At 36.0% G+C, this 19,574-nt stretch overlaps 1 long non-coding RNA gene across 2 annotated transcripts in view, besides 1 other annotated feature; it reads left to right on the top strand.

Annotated features, from left to right (window-relative positions):
* Positions 1 to 19,574, top strand: part of LOC105373667 (uncharacterized) — a 210,228-nt gene that overhangs the window by 17,333 nt on the left and 173,321 nt on the right. The window lies entirely within an intron of this gene.
* Positions 3,567 to 4,068: an enhancer, noted in NCBI's record as "H3K4me1 hESC enhancer chr2:147149519-147150020 (GRCh37/hg19 assembly coordinates)". NCBI's record gives its function as "activates a minimal SCP1, AML or CMV promoter by ChIP-STARR-seq in primed H9 embryonic stem cells {active_cell/tissue: H9 hESC(primed)}" and the evidence as "EXISTENCE:reporter gene assay evidence [ECO:0000049][PMID:30033119]".

The following is a 19,574-nucleotide window of genomic DNA, read 5'->3' as shown; positions in this document are numbered from 1 at the left end:
GCCCCAAGATCTCTCGATTTGGATTCATTAGATTGTTTCCTCATGTTTAGAGTCTAGTTAAACATTTTTGGCTGAACTACTAGTTAGATGATGTGTTCTCAGTCCATCAATGAAAGGAATCAATGTCAGTTGGTCCCACTATTGGGGAGGTTGAGTGACCATTTAATTAAGATGGTATCTGCCTAATTTCCCAATTACAAAGATACCTTTTTACTTTTGTGAATAATAAGCAATCCTTGGTGGTGCTAACATGCTGTTTTATAAAAGGTTATCACAGAATTCTTTAAAAGACCATTTTTAAAGGCTTGGGATCTCAGATATCTATGTGCAGTTTTTTTTTTCTTAACTCTGTAGACATAGGGTTCTTAAAATACTCCAAACAAGAAGCATGCCAGTTTAAATATAATATCTCTTATGTTCATTGCCATTCCCCTAATGCAATAAACTCAACCCTCTAAACCCAAACTGTGTGCTTTGGTTTCATTTTGTTTTGTTTCTCTTGACGTGTGTAGGGAACACTCTAGAAATGCCAAAGAAGCCTCATGCATGGAGGTATTAGAAACTGGAATAAAAGTATCTTCTGCATATGGGGTAAAATTTTCAAGATTTCTCTTTCTAAAAAAAATACATTTGTGAGTTCTTGAATATTTATTTTCAATGATGATTCAAAGTGCTTGTGGTGGAGATGAAGGAAGCTGGTAGCTGCAGTCCTATGTCAAGTTCCTTTGAGACAAGTAATGCTGTGCTTATGACAGAAACACAACTTTCCCAGCTTCACCTTCTTCAATTACATGAAACTGGAGCCTGTTTTATATCTCTGTGACTGACTAAAGGTTCTACTAATGACAACACTATATCCTCTCAGACACTCACACACACACACACACACACACACACACACACACATACTTATACACACATAATTATTCGAAAATAATAAAGCAATCACATCCTTCCTACATTCTGGTAAACATTTTTTTTTTCTGGTCAATGTCAGCAACCTGCAACTCTGCCTCAATCCTTGTTCAAAAACTCATCTGCAACAAATGCTGCCTGTCGTTAGTGATTTGTCAAATGCTTCCATCTCTCTTTCCTTCTTGTCACTACTCTATCAAGCAAACTAACAGTGACTCAAAAGCACATCCAAAAGAAAATTTTATGTTAATTTTATATTTGAAATGTCAGAATATTTGTTATTCATCAGTGGATTAATGAATAGATAAGTCTTTGCTTTAGAAAATATCTCTCAAATTGATCCAATTCTCTGCAGCTCCAAGGCCAACACTTTTTTTCAAGCTTCCGTAATATCTCACTTGAACTACAGCAGTCTGCTTCTACAGTCTCTTCTCCAATTCATTCCCCATATTGCACAAGACTATCTTTTTGAAATCACACCTAAGTGTCTAAAATCCATTTCCCTTTACCCACCTTAAAGCACTTTAATGGAATTCCATTTCTTTTGAGATAAAAATAGAAATGAAACTCTTCAATATGGCCTGAAATTCCCAGCATGCAAGAATCCTGTCTACCCTCCCTAGCCTTATCTCATACTACCTGTCCCATGTACCTGCCCTTCTGTCAGTTTCTTCAGTAGGTCTTGCTGTCTCTACTATGGGGGTTTTACACATGTTGTTTCTTCTTCTGGAATGCATCTCATTTCCTCCTGCCTCCTACTGTTGTCTGAGCAAATGATTTCTGAAGTAGTTTATTTTTTAATCACTGCATATCCAAGATTTTAACTAATTAATCAATGAGAGAATTAGTAAGATTTATAACTGATTAAAAAGAAATGTCAAAGAAGGCATTAAATACATACAAAGATATATACATACAAATACAATACAAAGGATTCAAAGAATGCATTATATGCATATATACATGTGTGTATTACATGTGGAGAGAGAGGAAGAATAAGTACCAATGAGGAATGCTGAAATAAATTTACAAATAGATTTGAAACTGATCAATATCCACAGAGCATTGATCAGGTATCTACAGGGCAACAATCAATTGCATTCCACTAGACAAAATCTGTTTGCATTTTTAGGTACAAGAATCATTTGTATTGTTTGTTTTCTACAATTCACTAAATTGTAAAATGATTCAGACACAATGGAAGGTCAGATGGTCTAGAGTGGTGCATTCATCATGGCATCCAGTGATCTTTAGTGCCTATTTCAAAGTCTTTCGCAATTTTAACTGACCAGCTCCCCCTTCATGATCATAAAAATCTCAAAGATTAACCCATAAGGAATAAACTTAAGATACTGAAATTACTACAGCCATAAATTCTCTCTGGAAGTTTTCAAAATGGCTCTCACAGTAGACTTTTAAAAGAACTCATTCTCCCAACACAAAGAAATGAAGCCCAGGAAACTACAGGATTTAACCAGCCATAGCTGTAAATGCTCTTTAGGATCCTTAAAAAGTTTTAAGAATTTTGGTCCAGAGACCAAAAAAATGACAACCATGTCTTTAGGACAAGACTACTCTTTTTACTTGGATAAACAAATAAACAAATAAAAACTCAGCACACACTCGTTAAGACTTCCCAGCTCCTGTTTTTCCCAGGAAGAACAACCCCCCCCATCCCGAATCCTCCAGAGGCACGTCCTGGGAGGGGCCGCAGGGACCCTAGGGTGCCCTCCAAATGAGACTCCTGAAATTTCCCAATCCATTTCCACAAGGTGTACTTTCCTTTAAAATAACTCTAAAAATTTTTGATATATTAATTACATAAATAAATAGCACACATACCATATTACATATCCCATGTCAATATTTACACATGCATTATGTAAATAGATTTATGCCATATATTTATATAGATATAAGCATGTATATGCGATGGAAATGTACACATGACATAATATAAATATTTGATTCCTCATGTAGTTTGGAAGAATTGCCTGTTACTAAAAATGGGACCATAACCGGATCCAGAAAAGTATTTTAACACTTGCAGCTCTTAGACACAAGAATTACGTTGCTATTTAAATTTCAAAAACGTTTTTTGTTGTGGGGAATGTAATCTGGCAATTAGTAAATACTTCCAAGCATTGAGTACTCACTCCCTGGAGAAACGGGGTGCAGTGAACTGTGAATTGGAGTAGAAAGGACGCTGTGGTTTTCCCGCTGTACTTTTAAGGGTGGATGGTGAGAAGGGAGTGGCTGTGGTCTCGGGTGGATGGTGAGAAGGGAGTGGCTGTGGTCTCTAGTGGATGGTGAGAAGGGAGTGGCTGTGGTCTCGGCGTTACTGGAGACACTGAGGACGGGGCAGTTTCTAAAATATCAATGTTTATAATACATGGAGAATTACATTTCTGCAACCATGTCCTTATATTTTAAATGAAAGTACTTGATGTGAACAAGTGAGGAGATAAGAGTGAGGGGGTTGGAGAGTTCATGGAAATGGTTTAAAGCCCACCAGCATGGAGGTGGTGGGGGCGCCTCCAAGCACAGGTGGCAAATCCCGCAAGACAGGAGCAGCAGTTAAGGGGGTCGCGGGTGAAGTTGGGGGGTGGCTGATTGCGGGGGAGCTTGTGGTGGGTGGGAGCCCTCCCTAGCCCAGACCCAGGGTCTCGGGAGGATGAAAGACAGCAGATGTGGGGGTGGGGCCGGTCCCGCAGGTCTGGACAGATTCAGGCTGCCAGGGCTGAGTCAGCCAAGGCTGTGGGGCCCCCTGTGTTACTGAAACCAAAGACGATTCTACTTCCCCAAGGAAGTTTCCTTTTCTTAGTCACTATTACTGTTAGGATACTTCAGCCACTTATAATTATTTTTAGTCAAAGGAACCAGCTTCGATGATTCCTTTTTTTGTTTGTTTTTGAGATGGAATTTCACTCTTGTTGCCCAGGCTGGCATGCAATGGCATGATCTTGGCTCACCGCCACCTCTGCCTCCTGGGTTCAAGCGATTCTCCTGCCTCAGCCTCCCGAGTAGGTGGGATTACAGGCATGTGCCACCAAGCCCAGCTAATTTTGTATTTTTAGTAGAGATGGGGTTTCTCCATGTTGGTCAGGCTGGCCTCGATCTCCCAACCTCAGGTGATTGGCCTGCCTTGACCTCCCAAAGTGCTGGAATTATAGACGTGAGCCACCGTGCCCAGCACTAAGTTCGATTTCACAGAGGAATTAGGCTTGGACACTCAAGAACTGCCTAGTAACTATAGCATGTGAGCAGCCTAGCAGAACTCATGGGTACACACATCATGCCTTTCTGCAGCTGCACACATCTGGCTCTTACCTTCTTAATGTGTCAAATATGAGCAGTTTTATTATCATGACCAAAAACTATAGCCTCTTTATAGCATATAAAATACAAAGCAAAAAAACATATACACTTAAAATATGCTTAGAGATCAATGTTTCCATACTCTATCTTACTTGGAAATTATTTGAGTATTTAGGTAATTTAGGTAAAAAAATAGACGCAGTAAATCTATTTAACTAGTTATATATGAACAGAAGTATTTGCAATGCACTGAAAGCAAAGCGATGAAATTATCTCTGTTAACTTTATTATGTGTGCAAATGCCATAAACTGAGTCAAAATACCTGATGCAACCTTAAAGCTAATGTCATTGGTTAGATCTTGCTCAAGTTTGACCTCTAGAGAAAAATTGCTTAGGATCATATTCTTGTTTTACCACTTAGCTTAGAGGAAATGCTACCTAGGTTTTCTAATCTATAGTTGGCATTATTAAACTAGTTAATTTTGTAAAATTACTTAGAATAATATTTGACCCATAGTAAATGACACAGTGTGGCTGACTTGGTTGGGTAAGGTAAATTTGGAAATAATATTTTCAAGGTAGCTTTTTCTAAAAAATAAAAATTCTATATAATGCACATTATCGTTGAAAAATGTTTGTAAAATGCAATAGTTATATAAAGAAGAAAGTAAAGATAATCTTATCTATAATCTAAGAGTGGCATAACAACTCTTAATATTCCAGTATTTCTTTTCTTCTAGTCTATGCCATTATTATTGATATAGACAGTCAGGGAAATACTGGGTAGAAGAGGGCGAGGTCCCTGTGAGGGCTCCACCCTCAAGCCTGTACCCATGGCCCAAAGTGAGTACAATCCCTGTTTTCTCACCCAAATCTTACCTTTTTGGCCAATCCCACCCCTATCCTGTGCCCATAAGAACCCCAAACCCCAGACTCAGTAGACACACACACAGAAGACAGAAGCGTCTGAACATCAAGAGGAGAAGAAGCAGCTGGACACTGGGGACTATGGTCAGAGAGGTCAGTCCGGCAGCCAGACTCCAGGAGAAGATTATCCTACCACTTTACTCCCTTTCCTGCTCCCCTTCCTACTAAGAGCCACATCCACTGCTCAATAAAGTCCTCCACATTCACCCACTCTTCATTCATTTAACCTGATTCTTCCTAGATGCTAGACAAGAACTTGGATTCCAAGAGGGAAGGGTGTAAAAGGCTGAGCTGGTTAACACCTAACTGTCCACAGATGGCAAATGCTAAAACCAGCCTGAGCTGATTAACACCTAACTGTCCACAGATGGCAAATGCTAAAAGGAGCACTGATTGTAACACATGCCCTCTGGGGCGCCAAGGGTCTCAGGCAACTCCTAGATGCTGCCACAGAGCCGCGCAGAATTCTAATCCTGCCTGTGCGCAGAAGCACTTGTTCTGGCCTCTGCAACCGCTCACCTGCATGCTTCCCCTCCTGCAAGGGGTTTGAGAGCTGCTGGCTGAATAAGCAAGCCACCCCTTCATGAGTCCCACAAAGGGGTCAAGGGAACTATTCCGTCTCATTATTATTATTATTTTGTTCTTTTATGAAACCGTTGTTAGAGAATTATATTTATTTAATAAAGCAAAGAGTTGGGTATAAGTACTTAGTTATCAGTTAATACTTAATTCTCAGTATTTTCATTAGAGTTTCCAATATTTCCATTGCAAAAAGCTAACCTTGCCTCTTTAGCATTCTTTAGGACTTAAAGGCAAACAATCTGTCCTTTGATTTTTGATTTGTTACTTCACTGTTATAATTACCTTAGCTGTATAGGGTACATACCTCTTTACACTGAACCAAACGCCCAACATACATACCCACATTTTACTTGCTTCCTTATGTATTTTAGAATTGTTTTGTATTGACAAAACAATTTTAGAATTGTTTTGTATCTACAAAATAGGCCCATTAAGATTTTATTTTTTGTGATATTGAACTTATAAATCTCAAGAAGACTTGTGATTTTTTTTACACATTTAATTTTTTAAGGTTTAGGAAAATCTGGATTCTATGTTCTATGGTATCTACTAAAATATACCTAGTATTTTAGAGAAATTATTAAAAAATACATTGGCCCTTTACAAACATTTTTAGAGTTATTCTTAGAATAATTTTGTTTATTTGAAAAGAATTTCTATGGTGGCCACAATTTTTTCCTGCTATTACTACTTCAGTAGTTATTGTTGATGTGGAGAAAAATTTTTGAAAAAAAATACATTTTGATCACTTTCCAGCATTTTTACTTCTTACTTACATCGCATGATGTTTTCCTGTGACCAGAATTCCTAAAGCAATGTTTAGAAACTGTACTGATGTAATAAACCCATTTAACTTTGCTTTTAGATTTTCACCAATAAATATGGTATTGACTGTGGATTTCAGACAAAACCAAATTAACCTAGTATTGCATAGTGGTTTTTTTTTTTGTTTTTTTTTTAACAAGAACGAAGGTTGAAGTTTATCATATTTTAAGCATATATTAATGTATTTTCTTTTCTCTGTCTGTTCATGTAGCATGTAATCAGTGATCAATTACTTATTGAAATCCTGGTGTTCTTAGTTTACACTCACCTTGGTTGTGATGGATGATGAGAAATAAATGCTAGAAAGGAGGAATCCTTGATTGAGAGTTTCATGAGTTAACACTTTCTTTGGAGGGGAGGAAAGCATATCTTTTTAATCTAATTGCACAGAAGTAGGATTCTATGCTTGGAGTCTTACTTTCTAATGGCCGGATTCTCTGACTCTTGGGACATAGCCAAATGTGGGAGCCTAATTGCCATAACCACAAAACCCACGAAAATAGATTTTTGGCCAGATAGTGAAGGCTTTGGTGTATGAAGTCAAAGCAAAACATTTATCACAACTTTTTTCATAGAATGCTCTGGAAGCCAAAAATATCAGTAGTTGTGACTCAGGAGCAACAAATACATAATTAGTTGCAAGAAAAGTTTAAAATACATTTTAAGCTCTTGTTTTTTCTTTATTTCTCTATATGTAATTTTGCAGAAAGGTAGGCTATCAAAATGAAGGATTTAAAAAATAAATGAAGCCGGGCGCGGTGGCTCACGCCTGTAATCCCAGCACTTTGGGAGGCCGAGGCGGGTGGATCACGAGGTCAGGAGATCGAGACCATCCTGGCTAACGAGGTGAAACCGCGTCTCTACTAAAAATACAAAAAATTAGCCGGGCGCGGTGGCAGGCGCCTGTAGTCCCAGCTACTCGGGAGGCTGAGGCAGGAGAATGGCGTGAACCCGGGAAGCAGAGCTTGCAGTGAGCCGAGATTGCGCCACTGCAGTCCGCAGTCCGGCCTGGGCGACAGAGCGAGACTCCGTCTCAAAAAAAAAAAATAAATAAATAAATGAAGAGAATTCATATCAATCTTTCATTTGCCTTTTTAGTCATACCTATATTTATCTATTTGATCTAACGCACTTTAATTCGTATTATTTCTCAATCACTGACAACACTAGAAACAGATTATGTAGTAACCCAGGCAGAATTACAATGAGGGTATTCTAATAAGATTTGGTGGGGAGCAGAATGTTCTAATTTTAATAAATATAGTTTGGGTTATGAAAGTCCTATTACTTTTTTCTTTTGTTCCCCTACTTTGTTCTCTCCAAGGCAAGAACAATATTCCCTACTTTATACCTAAAAATACGTTTAAAACATACTTTTATAAGAACCTACTTCTGTGTTTTAATAAGAGTAATATTTTAAATTTTATAGCAGGAATTGTTTATGCAGCTTAAAGCATGTAGTATTTTTATATCTACAAGTGGGTTTTCAAAAGACATTCATGTGTCTATTTAAGCAGCTTTATAATTTAAGAAATATCTTTGATGAATTTAGAGCTAAAAAGTATTATAGATTTCATTCTGCCCAAATTTATCTGTGTTCCCACAGCAGACACACAATCAAAAGTGAGGTTTCCTGCTCTGTGTTTAGGCCTTGTAACCATCTCATTGATCTGTTTTCTGCCAAGTTCTGATGTAGCCCCACTGACAATGAGTAAGGTGATATTATAGACTTGAATTCATTTGATAGTGTCTCAGGCACTATGCAAAGCTGCATGATCACTGGTGATGACCTTTATCACCTAACAATTTCCATGCCTGTCTCTTCTAGGTATTTGAGGAAACACTCTCCTCTACTTCATCAGTACTAAGATGTACCATTTGATTTTGGGAATTGGCACAGTAATGTAGGAGGAGTGGATACACTGCCACATTGTGGCATCAACTTGATGATGTGTTTTAATTTCTGTAAACCTTGAGTGTGTTAAAAAACCAGTATGTTGGAGCTTTTCTACTGTTTGGAGGATACCTTTGGACTTAATCACCTCATGACCTACATTATACTAGTTTCAACCTTCTTATCTAGATGTGTATTTTGCAGTTAACCCCATTTTTAAAAAGTTGTGAGGATTATATGACCTAATATATATAAAATGCTAGCTCAAAGAAGGCATTCAACAAAACATAGTTTTTTCCATTGTTCTTTCTAGTTTTATTATTATTTTCACATGAAGTACTAAGTTTTTGATAATATTTCCTCCTTTTTCACCTGAAGAAGGAACAAGAAAAGCTTCTAGGTTTTCCTTTCATGTAAAATTTAAAAATCAAGTTAGATCTTGCTATTTCATCCAATTATCCAAGGGGTTAGGGCAAGGGGTTAGGGCATCTCTTAAGTGTCATGTTTGAAATGTTCAGTTAATAAGAACTTTTCCGAAGACATAGGGAAGTGAATGTAATATCAGATCTTCAAATATCATAATAGAAATGTTTTCATTATTTGGTAAGCTAAATAAAGTATGCCACTGAGAAAGAAACAGTCCCTTTGGTTGAGTTCAACCTGCCAGTTCTTCGCATTCATTACACCTCTAACTTTAGAACCTGAATTTAAAAAGGCTTCTTTTCCTCCCTTCTCCCACTGTGCTTTATAACATTCAAAGTGAAGATGAGCATGTTTGTATCTATGGTTTACTACAAGTGTAGAACTAGTCCAACTGTATTGTAAACAATTGCTAAGATTTCATAAAAAGTATTCAAACTTTCTGGAATAAACTGTATATTTGAATCTTCCAGACAGCTGCAAATTATATTAATTTTTCTCTGATTGTTTTATAGTATGAAGTCATATTTTAGTTTAAAATTTAGCTATGTTTTTATTCATGACTAGAGATAGGAAAGAAGGAACGAGCTTGAAATATTATGATTACTGTTCTCCCTTTCCCATCTGAAACACATGGTGTTAGTTGCCTCAGAATTATTTTTCCAAGTAGAAGTGGTCTATGATTAAAAAGATCTGCATTTCAATTTTTTAAATCAATAAGCATTTATTTATACAAGATTTTTCAAATTTCTCATCACTTCTCCCTTTCTCTTAAAATTAAAAAATTACTAGTAACTGGAAATCAGGCACAGATATCCAGGAAATGTAGTTTGGCAATAAGTGCTGTTTTGAAATACACTGCATGGTTTGTGGATAAATATTTCTTTAATGTGTGTAATTACTGGATCAGCAGAATAAATGTGGTCATGTCCTTGTAATTAATACATTGTCAAAAGTTCATTTAAGTATAATAATTTTACTGGGAAAATGCTGTCTATGTGTTTCCCGCAATAATTTGTTAAATTAAGTGCAATAAATATAAAATTACTCTTAGGAATATATTTATTTTTTTCAAGTTCTTTTTCACGAGGTGTCAAATAATGCTTTTAAGAAACCCCTGCACATATCGCCTTTACCCTAGCCCTTACCTCTTCAATTAAAACTCCTCAAGAAAGTATATGGATAGACTATATACCACAATAGACTTTTCTAGACATTTAATTTTAGTTTTAGATAACTATAACCTAACATATATTACAGCTTAGGCTGACAAATATTTAGCCAGGAATTATGCAAACTGCCAAGTGTTCTTGCCCTTAATATCAGATAATAGTAAAGTATGGCTCTTTTCTCTGCACTCAGCTGAACATTTATCTGTGGAGGATGGAGTCCTAGCAGCACAGAATTCTAGGCTGGAAAGGATCTTAGAGATCACCCCATGCAACCCCTTGATTTAGTTTTGTCAAATTGCTCCAAGCTCTCCACAGAAGGATGCTGGGCTCTCCTAAGTGAAACAGCTGTGGGCACTCAAGGAGGACATGATAAATTAAAGGTGCTTTCTTTATAACGTTATGGCCAAAGGGCTGCAGGGAAATATGGTTTACATTGCCTGACATTTTACCTGTGTTGGGAATGTAGCTAGATGGTCTATAAATAAAGGGCAGCAAGGAAACAAGAGATTCTCAACAGTGTTGGGAATAAAATGCAGTGTGTGATAGACATGGCTCGAAGTGGTATGAGCTAGGAAAGACCTTTTTCTCCCAGCTTTGCCCAAGTAATTGATGGATAAGGGATAAAACACAAAAATAAATCAGTGTGCTAGAAGGTAAAGCAGGTGAGAGAAAGGACGGACAGATGTAAGTCAGCAAGCATAGATTGCTAACTGTTGTCCACTTTGATAGTATCTGCATGTTATTTTCACTTTCAGTTCCTTTTTTATAAAAAGAAAGACATTCAAAACCAATGGCTCCAGATCAGTATTTCATGTATTATACAGCCTCAATCAATTTTCGCATGCATTTCTGTGGTCCCTTGGACCAAATTAGCGACCAAAATCTAGCCTGTTTTAAGGAAGGTAGCTACATTGCGACTAAATCCAGATCTTCCTATTTTACTGCTCCATCTTGCCACATAATAGACTGCCTATCCTCTAATTCTTCCAAAGTACTACTAGATCAAATTTGTTGTGTGCAATAGATGTTGACTGAAGACCGCTGAATTAGAAAAGAATTATCAGAACTTACTAGTGTGAAACAGATCCTTAAAATTCAGTATTAGGCACTTCCATACTTAGAAGTGAAGAATATCTACTATCCAACACCTTGGAAAAACATAACTGACTATATTTTTCTGCAGAACTCTGGCCTCTTTCTGTGAAACTTGGGCTCTCCCTTCTCATTCAGACCTTTAAGACATCTTTTCCTTCCTCCCCTCTTACACTGTGTCCTGGGCTGCTTGTAGAAACATTCTTTTCCTATGATTATGCAGAATTATTTGTCCTTCTATGTGTATTGCCTTCTTCCCTAACATCATATGCAGTTGGGCTTATTTTAAACATCTAAAGAGACACTCAGGAAGTTCCTAAACAAAAAAGTCATATTACCTCATTTAAATTATACTACTGTCTAATTATTCAAAAAGAACACCAATACATTATTGTACTAAATATTTTTGTTCCCTTCCTCCACTTAGGTCCTATTTGGATAACTCCAAGAAGCATATCAGGAGGGGGCAAAGCCTTCACAATGCATTGGAGGAATTTAAAACCTAGTTGTGAAAAAAATACAGTATACACATAGATATACATCTGGATACCTAGTTGGGAATCAAAAAATCACCAAGTTTTTAATTACAATCAAATAAGCATGAGCTAATGTAGTACAATATTATATGAATGATCAGAGAGGAAAAAATTTAGAATTCAGAAGTTGTGCTGATAGAACTTTTGGGGAAGTTTTGGTGCATGGTCAGTACTTTGACATAGGCCAATATGCTGTGGTCTTTTATAGATCCAGTGAAGTAGGTAGACTTAACTTCAAGGCTGATCAGGCTAAGCTTTAGGGTTCTTCACTTGCATGGGTCCCTGGTACTGGTAGTGGCCGTGGCAATGTGTTTGTGTAGTCCCTATTTTTGCATACATGGTCATAAAGTTGCAAAAGTGAAATATTTTAACTATAATTGACTGAAACTCCTGCCTATTTCCCCTTTGATTTCCTCTGCATTGCCCTTATCTGGTCAAGCAGTGTTAGAGTATCCAGATCCCATTTGGGGATTTTGCTCTGAGGAAATCTAGTTGGTGATACCTTAAATTCAGTTTAGTGGCTTATATTAAATACTTACATGTTTCACGGATGCTTCTGTATGGTTGACAGATAAAATTCAGGACATCAGTTAAATTTGAATTTTGGATGAACAATGGATAATTTTTAAGTGTAAGTGTATCCAGAAAATATTGTTTGTTGTTCATCTGAAATTCAAATTTAACTGGGTATCCTGTATTTTTATCTGCTAAATCTTACTACCATATACTCCTGTGTTTGGTTTCTGCTAGTCGACCTAATGAAGGATGGCCATCAGGTGTGCTTCGCCACCCTCTGTACCTATTCTCTATGCAGACAGACCCACCCAAAGGTGTATTCTCAGAGATCATGCTGCAAAATGATCATGGGCTATGGTGCCCTGGCACTGGAAGAATACAGGTAGTAGAAAAGGAACAAGGTTCAGAATTTTCTAAATCAAAAGCTGATCTGAAGGAAGTTTTCCTCAAACTTACACCATATATACACACATATGTGTCTATATATACACATATGTGTGTATATATGTGTGTGTATGTATATGTATATGTATATATATATGCACACACACATATATGTAACAAATATATGCAACATATGTGTATGTATGTATATATGTATATATGTGTGTGCATGTATATCTATATATGTATTTGTATATACATGTGTGTGTGCTATAATTTTTTTTTGAAAAAAGGACTTTGAAAGAAGTTTCCTCACATTTAACAACAATCCTAAAAGTTCTCATGCTCTTACCAACAGTGAGCTGTAAGCCTGACAGTAACTTTCCTAAAGTATCTATTAAAAAAAAAAGAACTAAATATATTAGAGGAAAATTCTAATTCTTCATTGTATAGAAAATGAGAATTATGTAAAAATTATATGGAGAGATGAACAAAGAAAGTGTAAAGAAATTAAAAAAAAGTAAGGAAAAAAAGATACAGTCTAGTGCCCCATAATGACGTTACGATCAATGATGGACCACATATAGGATCCTGGTCCCATATGATTATAATGGAGCTGATAAATTTCTATCACTTAGTGACATTGTACCATAGTACTGTAACAGTGCAACACATTACCTTTTCTATGTTTAGATAAGTTTAGATACACAAATGCCATTGTGTTACAATTGCCTACAGTATTTAGTACAGTAACATGCTGTACAGGATTGTAGCCTAGGTGCAATAGGTTGTACCATATAGCCTAAGTGTGTGGTAGGCTACAGAATCTAGGTTTGTCTAAGTACACTGTATGATGGTCCCACAATGACCAATTTACCTAAGGAAGCATGTTTCAGAACATATCCCCATCATTAAGTGACGCACGACTCTATTATTTTTCAGGATTTTGTGTTGGCTACCATCTTCAACTGCTTTTTATGAAAATGGCATTTGGATGTACTTTTTCACTCTAAATATATATTTACATATTCACAATTTTGTGTTCTTTCTTTAAAGATGAATGTCAAAATTGTAAAAGCAAAACCGTGGGGTGATGGCATGAGAGCCACCCTTAGACTCATAGGGCTATGTTTGTACTGTGTTTGGTTTGTGTTCTAGGTCTTGATTCTTTTCAGTTTGAAGAAAAAAAGCAGCTGATTTTGAGTCAATTATCAACTACTGTGGCATGATGGTTAGAATTATCTGTGGTGTCAGATTGCCTGTGTTCAATGCAGGCCCCATTCTCTTTTCACCACTATAACCTGAGACAAATTGCTCAGCTGCCTCAGTGAAGTGAATAAGATGATTGTTAGGACTAAGTGAGATAATAATGTAACAAACTTTGCAGAATAGTTGACACATTGAAAAGGCTTTGTCGGTTTTGAATAATATTATTACTGTTGTTATCAGTGTTATCATTAGTCCAACAATTCACCTAATATAATTCAATTAAAACGAATGGTATAAATGAAAGTGTGTTACATTCACAATCTCATGAATCAATTAAAAGTTATTTTGTGAAAGTGTCTACATAAAGATAGTTAGGTTTTGATAATGTAGCTCAAAGAAAAATGTGTGACCTCCTGTTTCTTTCTCTGCAGCATCAAATGAGAACCATCCAGTATTTGGTCTGTCTTCTGAATCTTGGGTTCTTTTTAATTTTAGAAAAAAGAGTTGCTGTGATCTTGAGTCCGTTACCAACTACTTGAGGTCAGCAGACAGAAATTCTGTAAAGGAGTTTTTTTTTTTTTTTTAATTTAAAGGAGAAAAATAAATCATAGCTTATGATTCCCTCCTTTAGAATGTCAAAACAATTCAAAAACATCATACCATTTACAGACACATTTGCTTAGGTTCCACTAAACAGTACCTCTACAGTTGAGCCAGAATCAAATTGCTACTCATCACCACAGGAAAACAATTTGGATGGCTATCAGTTTGGATGGTCTTGGGGCAGGTGTGCCTGACTCAATGGGAAATAAAATGTTAACTAAACCTAGAAACTGCTTGCAAACTTCTCTGACATCCATTAATTCAACATAAATATATGGTGATAAGCATTCAACATAGTTTCAAGTGCATACTTAAAGTATGGAAAAAGTAATTACTTTGTGTATAATGAAATCATCACTGAAAAAAATGTGATGTTTGTCTGAGATAAGGTATGTGTTATGGACTGAATGTTTTTATCCATCCCAAACTGCTATGTTGAAGCCCTAGCTCTCAATATGATGGTATCTTGAGGTAAGGCCTATGGGAGACCATTAGGTGTAGATTAGGTTATGAGAGCGAGCTCCCCATAATGAGATTAGCGGTCTTACAGAAACAGGAGGAGAGACCAAAGCTCAATCTGTCTCAACCGTGTGAGAACACAGTGACAAGGCACCATTTGTAAACCACGAAGCAGGCCCTCAATGGGAAACTAATTGGTCAGCATCTTGATCTTGGTCTTTCCAACCCTCAGAACTATGATAAATACATGTCTGTTGTTTAATTCACCCAGACTATTGTATTTTGTTGTGTCAGCCAAGCTAACTAAGTTAGTATGCATTGGAATTTATCCTTCAATTATTTTAGGAGAACTTATAGTTGGCTCCATTATACTATTTAATATGACATAATGTCATTCTTTGTGATTGTGACCTATGCTCGGTTTCCCTTCAGTGTGCTCACTCCTATCATGTTTCTCCCAATGTGCTATTTTCCATAGAATAGCATTTATAAAAGTCACCTGTAATTATGGATTCTGTTTCCCACTGGGTTCTAAGCTCTTTTACAACTCCCTTTCTCTGAACCCCTACTTCCTGCTACTGTATCTTATACAAAGTCACACTTTAAATAATGTTTAACGGAAAGAATGAAAAGGAGATACATATGTTGTATTTTTAAAAAATTTCAATAAGCCACTTTCATATCTACTGACTACCAATAATAATTATATAATAATTACAGGAATAATTACATTAGACCCTTCCACTGTATTCTAAAACCTTCAGTCCCATTTTGAGTAAGAACCCCATGCTATGGGTTTTGCAGAATGCATAGCTAATACATAAGTATGTTCAATAAAAGCCACAAGACATATGAGACACAACTAAGAAGCAAACATAGAAGAGAACAATAAAACATTGATCTTCACGTTTCCGAATATAATTCCAAAGCTCCCAGTAGAGCTGTGGAAAGTGGAAAGTCGCCACAAGAACATATTTCCTCCCAGAGTCTGTGTTTTCTTTTTCCAAGTGTTTAATGCCCTGGTCTACCACTGTTCTCAAATATTAAAGAAGCACAGATTTCTTTACGGACGTCAAAACATCATCAGCACAAGGACAAATGCTTAGCTAAGGCTCACATATATCATTCTCATTGGTACATATGGTAATTTTCTCTAAATTGGCTGGTTTTCTAAGGCTACTGTATCATCCTGAGATATTAAGTTTTTAAATTGGCTCTTCCCACCTCTTTTAAAGTTAGATGGCTGATTGCCATCACATAATTTAATGATCTAGTCCAATCTATACAATGACTGTGTAACATGGGCAAGATAATTGTAGAGGAATTGCATGCCATTAATCAGTTGGCTTTTTGTTCTTACATGTTCCATTGCTTATCATTCAAGGAAGAAAATTGTCTTTTGACAGGGGTCCCATTGCAGCCTTTTTACTGTCCAATAACATCAAGGCTGAGGTTTCACAAGATAAATGAGAATGGTACATATAGGGTGACACTTAGTTAAAAGGCCTATTTTCGTATGAACTGTTTTTGAAAAAAATTAGAAATGTGTCTGTATTGTTGGGGAATGGGTTGCAGAAGACGTGTATTTTAAAACATGGAAATAGGTTAAGTAAAATAGATGGTCTCATTAGAGATTCACCAATTTATGCAAAAGACTACTACTCTTCATGGTTAAAAGGATAACACCAAAATTCTAACTCTTGATGAGCATCATCACTTCTTCCACCTTCAATAAACAATGACTGCATTGACAAAGGAATTTTTTCTCAAGGGATAGCCTAGGCACTGTACTCATGGCCATTATTCTTCATTCCCTCACAGGTGGGAAGCATGCCTTTTTAATCTTTGTATTTTCATAGCCTAACTCAGTATTTAACATTTATTAGATGCTCAATTAATGTTTCTTAAACCAAACCAAACCAAACCATTCTTGACCTGGTAAAGCTAACTCTGCAAATAAGGAGTTATTACTAGGGAAATACATTAATGTATGACTTCTGGAGGAAGAGACAACACAGTGAAGAAAATGGTGACCTTTCCAGTTGCGTGGGAGGAGCGATTAGTAGTTTGAATGCAATGTCTTAACATGCATGGTGGAGTTTTTTGTTTTATTTTATTATATTTAATTTTTAAGGATAACAACAAAATTGAGATTGAAAAGTGCTCTTTTATTAAACATTATATTTATGTAATTATATTTACGTACACACATACATATACCCATAAGTGTAAGTATGTATGCTTTATTTTTCAATCTGTTAACTTTATCTTAAGCTTTATGGGTTAGATTTCTGACTGAACCACTTCTATTAAAAGTAATGCCCAAAAGTGCAATTACTTTTACACTGACCTAATAGTAAATTATTTCTTGAATGTATCTCTGTGCAGGGACAAAAAAAGGAGATGGACTTTCCTTATATCATAGACAGATCTCCTTGATACTATACCAGATGTTCTCGAATTTATTCTTAGTTCCTCCCTCTCTCTCTCTCTTTTAATGTTTCCACTTGTATCCTCTGGGGTAAAAATGTTTCTATGGGAATGATAGTCAGCAAAGTTTGTTTTTGATAACTTAAAGGCAAACTTACTGTTGTGAATAGGGTGATGGGTGCATTTAATAATTGTGGAAGCAAAGTTAAAAATCTAGAGGAAAACATGATTATGAGGTTATTTCAGCATTAAAATTAAGTAGTATTTCTCTTCAACAGAAAATATTTGAACGAACAGTATCTTACAAGCAGCATTTTTTCTTTTAAAGTACAATAGTTTTAGGTAGAAACAACAACAAAAAAGATAAAACTATTTCTCTCAGTCTCTGCTAGCTGCATCTTCACCTATGCAAGTCTGTGCCTAGTCATAACTTCTATTGCTTTCTCTCAAAACCTTCATTCTAGTAGAAGCTATAAGATGGCGCCCCTTGATGAAAAGCAGATGTTTTTGTTGTTTTCTTTTTCCTTTCAACCCTGTTTGGATTTTTTAAGTATAATGCATAATGTTAACTCTCTTTAATAAGCAAGAACATAGCCATGGCACTTAAGTGAAAACAGGGCAGAGAGGCTGGCACAGTCATATAAGGAGAGGTTCATCAAACACCAGGACATATGAATTTGTAAGAATGAATGATCAGATGTGGGCTTTAAATCAATTTTATCTTCACTGTTTTAACATCAAGAAGAGTTGTTAGTTGTAAACCAATTGTTATGCAACTTAATGAACTAATTAGGAAAATCAGTTGCAATAATAGTATTGGTACAAACTGATCTGAATATAAAAAGTAGAATTAGAATTCTAATACCAAACTTTTCCAACTAGAAAGACTGCATAATAATGCTATTATAAGATCTGTGTTTTGTAGAAATTAATCATAGATTGTTCTTCATTACGGCATTTGATTTCTATAATCCATTCTTTTGTAATTGTGCTACACCACACTGTTTTACTTGTGATATTTCTGTTGTGTGCATATATGTTTTGAGGTCTGCCAGGATGAGCTAGATAATTTCTTAAATAGTATTGCATGAACTGGTTCTAGCATCATTTTTTCCTAGTCTTTTGCTTTGTTCAATGAATGAGTGTCTGTCATCCAGAGATATAAAATATGAACACCTCTGCTCGAAGACCACACTTGGGCTGGCAAGAGTACTACAACTGCCTGGTTGAGTCACAGACGGAGCTGGGATATGCTAGAACTAATTCACAAATAATAGAGAAAAGCTGAGTATCACTTAGACCATTTTTAATGTGGAATTCTCCAAAGACGGAATCATAAACTCCAGAAGATGTATGTCAGTTGTCACTCCTATCTTTTGTTCCCTAAGTTGTGCATTTTTAATATGAATGAAATATTTTCCTCAGCGGTGACTGGGTAATTGTTTTGATAGTTACATAATTTTATATCCTAGTGATGAAATATTTATGCATGCAATTCAAGTTATCTGTTATAAAGGGAAACTGTTTAACCATAGTGGACTAATGGTACTTAGGAAAAATGGGTGTCAAAATGAAATTTATTATATCTTCCAGTACTGCTTTCTGTGATAAAATACAATTTGTATGATTGTGAAGTAGCATTGTTTATTTTTCCAGTCAAAAAGTCACTGTCAAAAGTATGTTTGGGGAGGGAAAAATAGCCTTAAAACAAATGTATCACAGAGACTATCTAGGTTGTTAAAAAAAAACCTTGGGCAGCATGTTAAAAATGAACATCTCCAATACAATTTGTCACCCATGCATAAATCTTGCTGACATTTTCAGTCACTTTAATAGCCTGCCCATTTTATAAATCAGTATGAACTTGCACAGTTGCAAAAAGTGTGTATTTTGAACATCTCATTTGCATACTTTACCAAAAGCCAATGAGGCAGTGGGAACAGCACTGGTGATCATAATACGTGTTTGGGGAAAGGCAGAGAGATCACTAATGGCTTTGCCTTTAGGGATTTCTGTACTCCATAGGGGACGAAAATGAGAAATATTTTTCAAACAGCAGGGGTAAAGGTTTTAAAACTAGAAACACATGGAGTGATAAAGATGTTAGTGCCACAGGGCGCATAGCAGGAAAAATTTACAATGTAAAAACTGTAATTTCAGCATTAGGAAGTAATAATCGTGTTTCATCATTGTTATTAAAGCATGACCCTTAAAGTCACATAAATTAGATATAAGTTTCAAAAGAAGTTTATTAATCTTTAGCAGGAAAATATTAGGAAAGTTTATTATCA

Source organism: Homo sapiens, chromosome 2, assembly GCF_000001405.40.
Source record: "Homo sapiens chromosome 2, GRCh38.p14 Primary Assembly".
Lineage (NCBI taxonomy): Eukaryota > Metazoa > Chordata > Mammalia > Primates > Hominidae > Homo > Homo sapiens.
Note: the sequence above shows the minus strand (reverse complement) of the source record. Positions and strands in the feature narration are given on the sequence as shown.